At 39.3% G+C, this 14,158-nt stretch overlaps 1 protein-coding gene across 4 annotated transcripts in view, besides 1 other annotated feature; it reads right to left on the reverse strand.

The window, feature by feature from the left end:
- The window catches only part of MDGA2 (MAM domain containing glycosylphosphatidylinositol anchor 2), an 835,983-nt gene that overhangs the window by 777,896 nt on the left and 43,929 nt on the right, over positions 1 to 14,158 (reverse strand). The window lies entirely within an intron of this gene.
- Positions 1,426 to 2,625: an enhancer, noted in NCBI's record as "CDK7 strongly-dependent group 2 enhancer chr14:48088147-48089346 (GRCh37/hg19 assembly coordinates)". NCBI's record gives its function as "activates an origin of replication core promoter dependent on BRD2, BRD4, P300/CBP, MED14 and CDK7 cofactors, with strong dependence on CDK7, by STARR-seq in HCT116 cells {active_cell/tissue: HCT116}" and the evidence as "EXISTENCE:reporter gene assay evidence [ECO:0000049][PMID:35650434]".

Raw genomic sequence — 14,158 nt, forward strand, 5'->3', positions numbered from 1 at the left:
AATGAAAAACTGGTGAGCTTGCATGCTGCTGTCAAGTCAGTACAGTTTTAAAAAACAATTTCTGCACTAAACCTACCAGCTTGCTACAGTTCTTAGGTCTCATATAGTTTCTTTATTAACTGTCTCCTAACACAATTTCTTTATGGATGTCTTACAAAACCATAACTGAGTTGCTTGGTAAACTAATTTATATTTATTGCTTTTTCCTTAGGTTACATGCATATTATTTATATATTTGCCTATAGCATATTATGTGCAAACTAAATAGTATACGTAGACCAAGATGGAGACAGAGGCAGCTTGAAGAACAATGTAATTGGGGAATGGTGGGTAAATTCATGTTCACTGTACATAAATGAGTGGATTAATAAAAGATTTATATTAAAAAATGCCAGTACTTAGAAAAAACCCAAACAGCTTCTTAATAAATAACTTTTTAATTAAAAAGTTTTCAATATAAGCTGAATCTGAGAGTCTGAATTCAGCTAAGAATTCACTGGTTTTGCATCTCTTAGCTACATCCTATCAGTGTTCAATAGGGGTGAAAATGGCAAAACTCAGAGCAATTTTGAGAAACATAATTATCATCATTATGGCCAAAAGGGAGACAAGGATAAACATATGCATAAATACAAATAACTGTACTAGCTTGAGATGCTGCTTCTAATCAAGCAAAATGCTCCACTCATAAATTGTATCACAGTCAGTCTTAAATATCATTCCGATGCCTATAAAGTAGTGAGGACCTATCTTGGTGCACTTTTTGCAGATGCAAAATTCAGAATGAAAGATAAGTGAATTCTATGAAAGTTGGTAGGCATTGTACCTCCATTTCTGTTTATCTGTTCCTTTTGCCAAGTGTCCATCTGCATGCTCCTCATTATCAAAAGCCTACCTGTCCATCAAGTCTGTGTGGATGTCTATCTGGATGTTTCAATCATCCCCTACTCCCTGAATGTGACCCGTCCTTTCTCAAGACTCTCTAAAACTCTCTACTTCAATTTTTCTTACTGCAATACATGTTAAGTTCTCTAAATGTGTTACAAGAAGGCACTGTATGTCGCTCATTTTTGCAATTTTTCTGAATGCCGCATCTAATATTTTATTTTATCTACCTTGCATTTCTTCTTTGCATTTACTTTTCTACAATGTCTATTCTAGTACTTTTAACTGGCCACAAAATTACAAATGTCCGTAAGCTTGGAACATGAACGAAATTAGATTGAGTTTAAAAGCAAAAACAAAAAAACTAAGCCATGATGACGCAAAATAACACAGCTTTGGATCCATGCAGACTTGAGCTGAAATTCCAGTACCACAACTTAGTAGACTTTAGAGTTTTCCAAATTTTCTCTTCAAAGCAATCACAGAAAAGGGCCACACATACAAGGCACACTGGAGGGAATAAAAAAGCCTTTCATGGTGGTCAGATGTGACCCATCCAGGGACTCTAGCTTCCGCAGGCCTCTTTTTTTTTTGTTATAGGTTGAAAGGATGGAAGAATCAAGGTTTTGATACACAGCCCTGAAGTACAAATCTCTAGGTTATAATGATTTTGATACATTGATATAATAGCATCTCTGAGCCTCAGTTTAATTACACACACACACACACACACACACACACACACACAGATACATTATCTACAAAACTGCTAATATGATTGGAAACAATGTCTATACCGCACCTAGCATTGTGTTAGATACTACTAACTAGACAATCATAAATAGTAACTAATAATTTTACTGCCCAATAATAATATTCCAAATATAAACCACATGAATAAAAATTGTACTCTTTATGGTACAGTAGTTAGCTGCGTCATCATCACAATGAGGTGGGCTGCTAACAAAGAAATGGATAGCTTATTTTTTTGAATGAATTAGCAAACAGCTTTAAGTACATTAAAACTAATACTAATAATTTCACAGGTAAGTCAAAGTCTTCATACATCAAGTGAAGGGTGGAAGTAGCCATGACTCAGAACTGTGTATTCAGTCAGAAAGCATCTGAGGAGGCAGATAAAGGGCACAGTGACACATCTCTCCAGCTTTCGGATGGCAAACATGGAATCTCAGAATGACCAAGCCTTAAGGGCTTTCAAGGGAGCACGTAGCACAACTCACAGATGAGTAGGTAATTCCCTGTACTCACAGGTCAAGCATAAGGAGCTATATTGCTCTTTTTGATTCTGGTACTGACGTTTTAAAAGGCTGTGAATTTTATGTTTTGTTTCCTTTGACAAACTCAGTCATCCAGTTGGACACTTTTCACCACAGACAATATCTGAATAGGTTTTTAACACTGATTCTAAATGCGATTGAAATTTAACTTATTACTTAGATATCCAGGGCTGCTCTACTCTTGGCAGTGGAGCCTGACTGACTCACAGATTGATCTGTTGTTGTCCTCATCCCAGCACACAGCCATCCACTTGATTCCGATGGCTCAAACTTTCCTTCACATCTTGGCCACCAAAGAGGCTCCAATGAAAGGTTCACAGGAAGCTCTTGGCTAGGAGCACACATAATCCCTGGCTTAATGCCGGCATACATTAAATCTGAAGTTAAATATTGAAGGATGGATATGAGGACCTAACCATGCATGTAATATGAAAACCAAGGCATCGAATTGATGCTACATTTTAGAAATAAAGGAATGCTCAATGGCAACAGAATATTTTATCAAACTATGAATCACTGTTTCTGATTCAAGAATACATTAATAACTGAGTTTTTGAATGACAGCAATAACTAGCAGTCATGACACTGTGTGGCCTGTGCCAGGACACATGGAACAAAATGATATATAGTGGACACCACTGTGATATTGTTAACATATATAAAGATACTCTTAGAAAATTGTTGTTTAGACGAAATCTTTGGCAAATGCAAGTTAAAACTTTCTTCAATTTGAATTCCAAATTTTTAAATCATAAAGATTTGATTACACGTGAATACTTTCCATCTAATAATAGATGTATATTGTAGATGCGTACAAATATACTTCTTCAAATACTGATGAGAGGGCAGGATAACCTAATTGTTTCCCTAATTGGGCCATAAACTTTGCCCCCAAATTTTGTCTATTCCAATTTCCAAATTATAAAATTAGCTTATACACTGCCCTTCAGAGTATCAACAATTTTTAAATAAGATTAAGAATCTGGTTGCCATTGTATGGCTCAAATACAGTATAAAGCTTTGAGGGAAGAAGAGAGAAATTGAAAGAATGGGCTTTCAGTCTTTTGGAATAGCAAACCTGAACTTTCCCCAGCAGTAAATGATTGGGTATCTGTGTTCACCGTGACTGGGTCAGGCTGGCTGAGGCACAACGGCACAACATCACTTTAATTAAGACAAGGTAAAGCATGAGTTGGCAAAATTGCCCACTATTTGTCACCTGAAGTCCAATTACGACTGTAATCACTGAGCATCTCCAATGCTGAAAATTAGATCCAGCCATTTACCTGTAATATACTTCAACATAACAAATATTTGGAGATTACTTAAACAGAGCAAATCCTTTGAAATTTTGGTCACCCTCCTTCCGCTGGCCAAATTAATGATCTTTATGCCTGAATACATGCATTTGGCATTACTGAGCACTCTCATTAACTCCCACCACTCATATTCTTGCATATTAGAACTTGATTTTCCTTTTATTTACAATTCCAAGTCCCTTCACAAATTCTTGAACCCTATATTAAATACAGTTAAGGTCTAGTCTTTAGGAATTACTATTCTCCCTTCTTCTTTCCATGCCACTTTTCTTAATACTCAAACATGCATGGGAGATTCTGCCCAACCTCCCTCATCTTTTTTTACTGTTTCTTAAAAAAAAATTTTTTTTTTAGAGACATGGACTTGCTCTATTGCCCAGGCTGGACTGGAGCTCCTGGGTTCAAATGATCCTCCCACGCCAGCCTCCTGAGTAGCTAGGACTACAAGAGCTCACCACTGTGATTGGCTTCCCACTCCTTAATAATACATTCTTGCCTCTTTTCATGTAATTCTCTTGATCATGCCCCCAGAGCAAACAGCATCTCTTCATAAGTATAACACATCAAAACATGGGCATTAGGAGTGGCCATGTGATTTCCTCTGGCCAGCAAAATGTGAGCAGGGATGATGTTAACTGTTTCTGCCACTTCTTTCTTTTCCTTCTGACACAAGAATGTCAAGTCCTACTGTGGTCTGAATGTTGGTAACCCCTAAGAAGGACTAAGACATATCTTGAGTAGGGGCTGCTCATTCTGTTTAGTTCCCAAAGTGAAGAAGACACAGAGCAGAATCCCAGCTGAACCACAGCCAACATACGTTGTAAGCGAAAAATAAGTTTTTATTGTTCTAAACAACTGAAATTCTGGGATTATGTCACCAGAGCATGATGTAGAGAAAACTAATACATTATTACATAGGAATTAACATGTAATGTTGGTTAAACATAGTGATGATTAAATGAGATAATGGGCATGGTGATAAGCACTGTGCTTGTAACATAGTAAGTATTAAATTCATATGAGCTATTATAACATATTCCACATATATCTGTTTCATTTTCTAACATCCTTCAAAGAACAAAACTATGTGTTTTATAAATTCCTGATATGCCTAGAAGAGTGACAGTTACTTAATAAATACATATTGCATTAAGTCAAAGTTAAAGGTAACGAAAAGGTAACCTGAAGAGAGCCACAAAAGAGAGAAGAAGAAGATTTGGAGGGGGATGGGAGAATGAATGACATCACTATTTTTTACTCAATAAATATTTATTGAACACTTAACTATGAGTCAGACACAGTGATAGGCATTAAGGAGACAACTGTGAAGGGGGCAATTCTGCCTTCATTGAGTTAGAGAAATCATGAAAAGGAAGCAGCAATTATAAGGATATGTGTCCTCCAGTGTGAGAAAACACATTGACTTGGATCAAGGACATTTTCCTCAGGTTGTAACCTCAAGAATAAATGGGAGGTGTGTAGATGAAGTAGACAAAGTTGATATGGAAAGAATGTTTCAGGTAGAGCAGACAGCTGATGATGATTTCCCAGTGAAAACAAATAACACCATCTGTTGTCAATTAAAGGTGGTGGGGGACGAAAGCTGATCTTTAGGAAGTTGCATGAGGTCTGATGCAGCCACTACAGAAAATAAGTAGGGAAACTGACCCATGGATGCGGAAATCTTCTAGGTGTTGTTGCTAGCCTGTTGTAAAATGTCATCAGAATGGCATGAATCTTCAGAGTTGGGCGATTTTCTATGGCAACACTAGGATTGGTCATAGTCATGGGGAAGTAGATAGGTGGCTTGTTCCAGAGTAGCTTCTGATGCCAGATGGTTGCACTGAAGCCAACCAGGAAATGAATTGTGGATGTTGACCAGGGTGTAGCTGTCATTGTGGACTATTCTATCTAAGTCAGGAAAATTAAAGGATGGTGGTGAGGGTGTGGTAGGGTTTGAATGCATCCCTAAAGTTCACGTATTGGAAAAAAATCCCCAACGCAATAGTGTTGAGAAGTGGGACTATTCAGAGGCAATTAGATCAAGAGGGCTCTGCCTTCATGAATGGATTAATGCCAATATCTCAGGCATGGGTTTGTTATTGAAGGAGTGGGTTCCTGATAAAACGATGAGTTCAGTCCCCTTCCACTCTCTCTCACACATGCTTTTTTGCCTGTCCACCCTTCCACCATGGGATGATGCAACAAGAAGGCCCTCACTAGATGCCAGCACCTTGATATTGGACTTCTCATCCTCCAAAACTGTGAGACATAAATTTCTTTTCTACATAGATTAACCAGTCTGTGATATTCCATTGCAGCAACAAAAACTGAACTAAGACAGGATGTTTCTACTGACAAGAAACTATAAAAGCTGAAGTTTCAAGGGACTGGTGGTCTCAATGAAACTAATGCATAGATTTTTTTAAAAAATTAGGTCACATACAATATCTAATGCAGTACTGTCAGCCTATATCATCAGGATATATTAAATACTTCTCTCTGTGAACCAGCAGAGGCAGGCATGTCTTAAGTGATCTAAGGGGGTATTACTACTTTATTTGCATAGCACTTCCCTTTATTTCAAATGCTTTCCCATTCATCATAAACACCTCATTTAATTGTCATTACAATTGTGTGAGTTACAGAAAACCAGTATTAATATCCTCATTTTATAACTGAAAAAAAAAATATTGAGGCTTGAGCAAATTTTAACACTTGCCTAAAATCCCAATGTGAGTTTGTAATGGATTATAATTAAAACCCAAACTATTACCCCTTTGATGTGTGCCACTTAAACAATCTATGCAGAAAAGTCAGAAGCATTAGCTGGTTATCTATATGGCAAAACCCAAGTATATACTGAAATTATCCATCACTTCAAACAAATTCTTTTGTTTAATTCCCAAACCAAAGAACAATGGCCGACTTCTTCTGGTAATCTCAGTGAGAAAAATGTTCAGCTACATTGTATGCTCAGGAGGTTATTAATCTATGTTAGCCTTACCATCCCCTTTTTTGAGGCACTGATTTTCCTTTAATGTCTACCCATATAAGTATTGTTTTAATTTAATCATTGTAATTTGTAAAATATGTGCTCACAACGTAGTAAGGTTGAAGGTCCTCGTTCCTTTTGTCTGATAAATCTTTTTCTAGGCCGGGTGCGGTAGCTCACGCCTGTAATCCCAGCACTTTGAAAGGCCGAGGCGGGCGGATCACCTGAGGTCAGGAGTTCAAGACCAGCATGGCCAACACAGTGAAATCCCGTCTCTACTCAAAACACAAAAATTAGCCAGGCATGGTGGCGGCCATCTGTAATCCCAGCTATTCAGGAGGCTGAGGCAGGACAATCGTTTGAACCTAGGAGGTGGAGGTTGCAGCGAGCTGAGATCACAGCACCGCACTCCAGCCTGGGCAAGAGAACGAGACTCCATCTCAAATAAGTAAACAAACAAACAAACAAATAAATAAATGATAACTCTTTTCTATTTACCCATGAGAAAACAACTATACATTTTATCAAACTGTAAGGATATAAATAGAGCCAAAGGGTTGGTTCCAGAACCTGAATATAAATGAATATTCTTATATCTAATCAGTTTTTTTTAAGCTCCAGGCTGTAAGATAGATGGCAAATAATTTCCCTATATGCTTCTAATTTTAAATTAAAATTGAGGTCACTGAAATGGTAGAAGTCAAAACCAATTTAGTTCCTTTGATCTCAACCTAGGGAAACATAACATTTCTGCTTATCTTCTTCATAACAAGAAATGCTTCTCAGATAAAAACTGTAGTACATAGAAATAAAGAGACTGTATGTCAGGCACCCCATTAAACTCTGCAAATGCAGGATAAGTGAATTTTGAATATATGATTTTAATCTTTGCCCATATAGATATTTCTATTAGTATCATAATTAAATGGAACCTTCATTTAGACTTGGTTCTACTATTCACTTGACATCTAAATTTTAAAAAAATCACTGAAACTCTCATTTTTAAAGTTTTATGTTGTAGAATGCTGCAATATATATGCCCTGACCAACTTACAGGCCCTAAAAATTAAACAGTTTGCCCTAGATTGTATAGGTAGTAAGTGACAAATCTATGGTTCCTTTTACACAACAGGTTACAGTATAGTTGTTTCTGTGACAAGTTTTTATTTATCTTGGAATGCTTTTCTTTAGCATACTGTAAGGGCCTCTATTAAAAGTTGGTCAAACTTCTTAGATCTGCAGTGAGAGAAATGATAAAGGACACAGATGATCCTAAACAATGTTTATGCAAAAACAAAAAAAAAAGTATGTCATTTAACTTCAGAATACAAGATTCTTTACTAAAATATTTATATAACAATGTTTTACTTAGTCTCCTATTAAAACTTATATTAAATTGTACCTGCTACTCACATACCAATGCTGATGCTCACAATATCACCCTAACAGCAATGTTACACAAAATTCATATTTGTATTTTCAGTCTAAAATAGGGTAACTGTGGTTTCCAACTATCAAAATTGCCCCATGACTTTGGATTATCAAATAAAACTGGCAAATAAAAATAGACATATAAAGATTCACATGAAACATTTTTAGATTCTGTTCCTCAATCTTTATTTTCAGTGTCTCAAAATAAGCCGCCTTTATTTATTATCTGGATTACTGAAATGTCTGTCTAACCATTTCCCTACGTCAAGTCTTACCAATCACTCTTCAAACTTTATTTCTCAGGACTAACAAAGTTATCTTTCTAATATGCTCATTAGGCTGATGGTCATTTTTCTGCTTTAAAGCCTTCATTAGTGCTTTAGTTTTCAGAAAAAAGGAAAAATTCTTAACCTTAATCTCAGGAGCCCAATGACTTAGCCTTTGCCCTCTCTTTTGCCCCATGTTCTTTTGCTATCTTTATACAGCTAATTATTCTAAGTGGAACCTCAGGACACCAGACAGAGTTTCCAGTCTCTGTTAATTCCAAGTTACTGTTTTCCTAGACCTAGAATCCTTTGCTTCCCATCAATGGTACAGTGAGACTCACTCATACTTAAGTCTCTGCTCAAGCATGGCATTGACCCTCTGTTTGATTAGATGCCCTCTTGGGTGGTCTTACTGCATCCTCTGAATATTTGCATTCTATCTATCAACAATCTAGGCTGAATCCATTTTCTACATGGCAGATAGGTTTTTGTTTTGATTTTTTGGTTTTTTTGTTTTGGTAAACTAATCATATCATTAAAAACAGTCAATACTTGTCTCCTGAATTCTGGACAACAGCCGCCTTAGGCTCTACCTGAGATAGTCCGGCTTAAGTCTTCAGCCTTACCTGCCTGGCAACATTCTTCTTCCTGTCCGCTACACTGTGAGGTGACAGCCAGCTGGCAGCCCTCACAGCCCTCCTTCGCTCTCGGCGCCTCCTCGGCTTTGGCACTCACTCTGGCCGCGCTTGAGGAGCCCTTCAGCCCGCCGCTGCACTGTGGGAGCCCCTTTCTGGGCTGGCCAAGGCTGGAGCCGGCTCCCTCAGCTTGCAGGGAGGTGCCGACGAAGAGGCGCAGGCGGGAATCGGGGGCTGCGCCCGGCGCTTGCGGGCCAGCGCGAGTTCCGGGTGGGCGTGGCCTTGGCGGGCCCCGCACTGGGAGCGGCCGGCCAGCCCCGTCGGCCCGGGCGGTGAGGGGCTTAGCACCTGGGCCAGCAGCTGCTGTGTTGGATTTCTCCCCGGCCCTTAGCTGCCTCCCAGCGAGGCAGGGCTCGGGACCTGCAGCCCGCCATGCCTGAGCATCCCCCACCCTCTGTGGGCTCCTGCGCCGCCAGAGCCTCCTGACGAGCGCCGCCCCCTGCTCCACAGCGCCCAGAACCGCCCAAGGGCTGCGGAGTGCAGGCGCACGGCGCTGGACTGGCAGGCAGCTCCACCTGCACCCCGGTGCGGGATCCACTGGGTGAATTCAGCTGGGCTCCTGAGTTTGGTGGGGACTTGGAGAATCTTTGTGTCTAGCTAAGGGATTGTAAACACACCAGTCGGCACCGTGTGTCTAGCTCAGGGTTTGTGAATGCACCAATCGGCACTCTGTATCTAGTTCATCTGGTGGGGACTTGGAGAACCTTTATGTCTAGCTAAGGGATTGTAAATACACCAATCAGCACTCTGTATCTAGCTCAAGGTTTGTAAACACACCAATCAGCACCCCGTGCCTAGCTCAGGGTTTGTGAATGCACCAATTGGCACTCTGTGTCTAGTTAATCTGGTGGGGACTTGGAGAACCTTTATGTCTAGCTAAGGGATTGTGAATGCACCAATCGGCACTCTGCATCTAGCTCAAGGTTTGTGAATGCACCAACTGGCACTCTGTGTCTAGTTAATCTGGTGGGGACTTGGAGAACCTTTATGTCCAGCTAAGGGATTGTGAATGCACCAATCGGCACTCTGCATCTAGCTCAAGGTTTGTGAATGCACCAATCGCACTCTGTGTCTAGCTCAGGGTTTGTAAATACACCAGTCAACACTCTGTTTCTAGCTAATCTAGTGGGGGCCTGGAGAACTTTTGTGCCTAGCTCAGGGATTGCAAAGGCACCAATCAGCACCCTGTCAAAACGGACCAATCAGCTCTTTGTAAAACAGACCAATCGGCTCTCTGTAAAATGGACCAATCAGCAGGATGTGGGTAGGGCCGGATAAGAGAATAAAAGCAGTCTGCCCCAGCCAGCAGTGGCAACCCGCTGGGGTCCCCTTCCACATTGTGGAAGCTTTGTTCTTTTGTTCTTTGCAATAAATCTTGCTGCTGCTCACTCTTTGGGTCCACACTGCCTTTATGAGCTCTAACACTCACTGTGAAGGTCTGCAGTTTCACGCCTGAGCCAGCAAGACCACGAACCCACCAGAAGGAAGAAACTCCGCACACATCCGAACATCAGAAGGAACGAACTCCGGACACGCCACCTTTAAGAACTGTAACACTCACCGTGAGGGTCCGCGGCTTCATTCTTGAAGTCAGTGAGACCAACAACCCACCAATTCCGGACACAGTACCACCTGCCATAGTTTTGGGGTTTTGGTGGGGTAGGTAGGTAGAAAAGGAGCGAACCTGAACTCTTTACCAGCTTTAGCATATTCTCTTCCCACTGTCTCAAGTTCTCTTCTTCCCCACTCTTGCCATCACTTATCTCCAGGTCTCATCTTACCTGACACTTTCTCAGTAATTCTCCTCATCCATTTTTATGCAAATTGCTCTTGCATGGCATATTTTGCTTTTCTTTCATAGCTCCTATCAAAATGTGTAATTATGGGCCTATTTGCATGACTATTTGTTTCATATCTGCCTCTACATCCTCCATAAGTTCCATGAGGTCTGAGAACACGTTGGTTTTGTTCACCACCCTAAACTCAAGGCCTGGCACAGTGACTGGCACCATTTGGTGCTTAGAAATATTTGTTTAATGAATTTAAAGTCTGTTTCATTAAGCTTCATTATTCTTGACGAATTGTGATTTCTATGTAACTTTGTAACACTAAGAAATTGTATAATACAGAACTGCCTATAGAGGGTTCTCACTAAGTATTAGATTAACAAATGGGCAATTTTCAAAGACCAACCAAAACTCCTAAGACTAAAACTATGGTGAACAGTACTAACCTCTTTTTGAGTATCAAGATATACTGAAGGACCTTGTATTTCTTTAGACTTACATCTCAAGGGGAAATATGACGGATACTATGATGCACCAGCCAGACTCCCCTTCAAGAATGAAGATTTTTTTCCCCCCAGCTGGTGTGAGAGTTACAGCTCACTTTGTGCTACGCTTAAGCGTAGCTTTAGAAAGTCTCGAAGGAAACTGCTGCGTTTGAGGACTTTCCTCCTTGCAGGGACACTCATACTCCACATATATAAAGGTCAGCCCCATATCCCAACTTGAGACAAGGCTGAAGAGCCATCCCACCTCCAGAACTCTCCATGGAGTACACAGAGGCTGTCACAGGCACTGTAGCCTCACTCAACTCCTCCCTGTACCCACTCCTGCTTTTCTGTTCTTTCACTTCTCTTGATTCTAATAACCACACCTAACAAACATCCTGCATGCTAACCTCCATCTCAGGGCCCGCCTCACATCCAGGGTATCTCTTCCCATTGGTGACAAGAAAAAAAACATTAGGGTTGTATGTGAATAAAAACGGCTTATAAATAATCTGTGTCATATCTGTGTTGTGGGGATGTACATGCTATTATTAAATAAGTTACTAGAAGGACAGCATATGATTCTTACAACAGCATTATATTAATAGCAATTCTGATTCATTTGAGCTGAGTGGAGGTTTACAGATATATTGGTATTATTGTTCTGGTTTTTAAAAATTTATTAACTATTATGGTCTGCATTTGCCTGATAAACACAGGCTAAGTAATACATTATTGAAAACAGTTGTATGCCAAAAAAAGGAAATAGTGGAGGGCAGGCATGCCCTATTTGTGCCATACCACAGCGGTTTCTGTTTACCTCTCTGAAAACGGGAGATCTTCCATATAAAGGCATTGGTTCAGAGAGTAAGTACTGGAGAATGAAGTTGTAACTAGTTCAGGGTAAGAAGAGATGCCTTATACAAAAGGAGATACAACTGTTTGTTATTAAAATAAAGGAATTATTATTTTGCAGCCGACTAGCTAAAATGTAACCCTTATTACTTTCTCCCTTATACATTAGTTATGCATATTTTATAGTTAAGCAATTAAAATTAGGTGCATCCTTTCTTCCTAAAGGAATAAACATTCTCCTTCCTCTGCAGCTCATTAGAAAATGTCTACTAGAGAAGAAAAGGCTTCCCTTGAGGCACTTGGGCTTCTCAAACATTACTGTGAACACAAATCACCCAAAGGATCTCATTAAAATGCAGATTCTAATTCCGGGGGTCTGTGGTGAGCCCTGAGATTCTGCATGTCCAATAAGCACCCAGGTGATACTGATACTGCTGGTCTATGGACCACACTCTGAATAGCAAGGTATAAAAGCAAGGTATAAAAACATAACTTGTGGGGAGGGCTCACAGAATATGATTTAGATATAAGGCAGTACTTCTGATACTAAAAAAAAAAAGGATGTATACCATTTTTGTGAAGGAAAAAATACACACAAACACACACACAGCATAAGTTTAAAAAAAGTCACACAGGCACTTAATTGTTGTACTTATAAAATGAACACATAGACAAAAGCCTAGTTAGCAATCACTTCTGCAATATATACCTCAAAAAGTTACATATTTTTATAAGTATCGGTTACATGGAGCAATAAAAGTTTCAATAGGTTATTTTTATACTATGGAAACTAAATTTTTAGCTTGTAATTTGAGTATATATGTATGTAGTATGTGTCTATGTATGTGTATAAGTGTGTGTGTTTGCATCATACACAGATTCAAATTTTGTATGTCAAAGATTATGTAATGCATTTCAGTGACAGATAACACAAGTTGATGATCCAAACACTTTGGTTTCATGTCTGTTTCTTCAGTAAAAATCTTACTTTTTGTGCTTACAGAATTATCCATACAATACAGAGACTTTCTTTCTGGAAAGAATCCTATACTTTCAGTTGTCTAAATATTAAAAACAATGGCGATCATCAAAATAAGCCATATGCAGCTATGCATCCTGTAACTCTGAGAATGAATTATTATAATAGTACAAAAGGAAGTAAGGACATCTAGAGTATCTATTCTCTACCTGTTGCATTCCAATGAAGTCAATACAACTATCCCAATGTCCTGAGTACATAGAACAGCCAGATATTAGAAATGAAACACATTTCTAAGATTCTTTTCTATCTGGATACAAAAAACAACACAGTCAATATTCATTGTGTACTTCCTATATTCCAGAGAGTATGGTAGTTGCTTTACATCTCTTTGCTCAGCTATTCCTCACAGCAACCTAGTGAGGTTAAGCCCTGTTATCCCCATTTTGCAAGCAAAACAGAAATGCTAAGAAATCCATCCTTGGTCACAGAGCAAGACAGCTCCTTTTTTCCTCTGAAAAGATAGGTAAAAAATCCTCTTAATAGTTCTCAACCATGGATACACAATGTGATCACCTGGAAGGCTTTTGCAGTAGTAATTCCTAGATGCTACCTCTTAGAGATTCTAACATAAATTGTCTGATATTTGGTTTTCATAGCCAGAGCTGAAAACCACTGTTCTGGAGCATTTAAATAATCTTGTTCTCTTCTACTCCCATCAGTGTAACCAGATGATGACCTCATTTCTCATTTCTCAAGGACAGTAGATGCTATGTAATGGACACTTTCTATCCACATCCCCTTCCTCTGGCCTACACTGGAGAGTAATTTTTGAATCTTCTCTTCCCCCAGCCCAAACTCCTTTCCAGGAACCTCCCTAAATACATTTCCATTGCTATTTTAAAATGATTAAATTTCTCTTATTTTTTAAAACAAAAACGAAAAGCCCTCTTTGTCATCACATAACCTTTCAGCCCATCCTATCCCAACAAAGCCAAATTTCTTCCCCAAATTATCCGTAACGGATGACAATATTTCCTGCCACTCATACATTACCCTGTTAGCCTGGTTTCTACCTCAACTCTCAATATAATCTATTCACACCAAAATTACTTTTCACCCAATATCTCTCCTATCAGTAGTTGACTCTTAATATTTTCCTT

This window comes from Homo sapiens, chromosome 14, assembly GCF_000001405.40.
Source record: "Homo sapiens chromosome 14, GRCh38.p14 Primary Assembly".
Classification (NCBI taxonomy): Eukaryota; Metazoa; Chordata; class Mammalia; order Primates; family Hominidae; genus Homo; species Homo sapiens.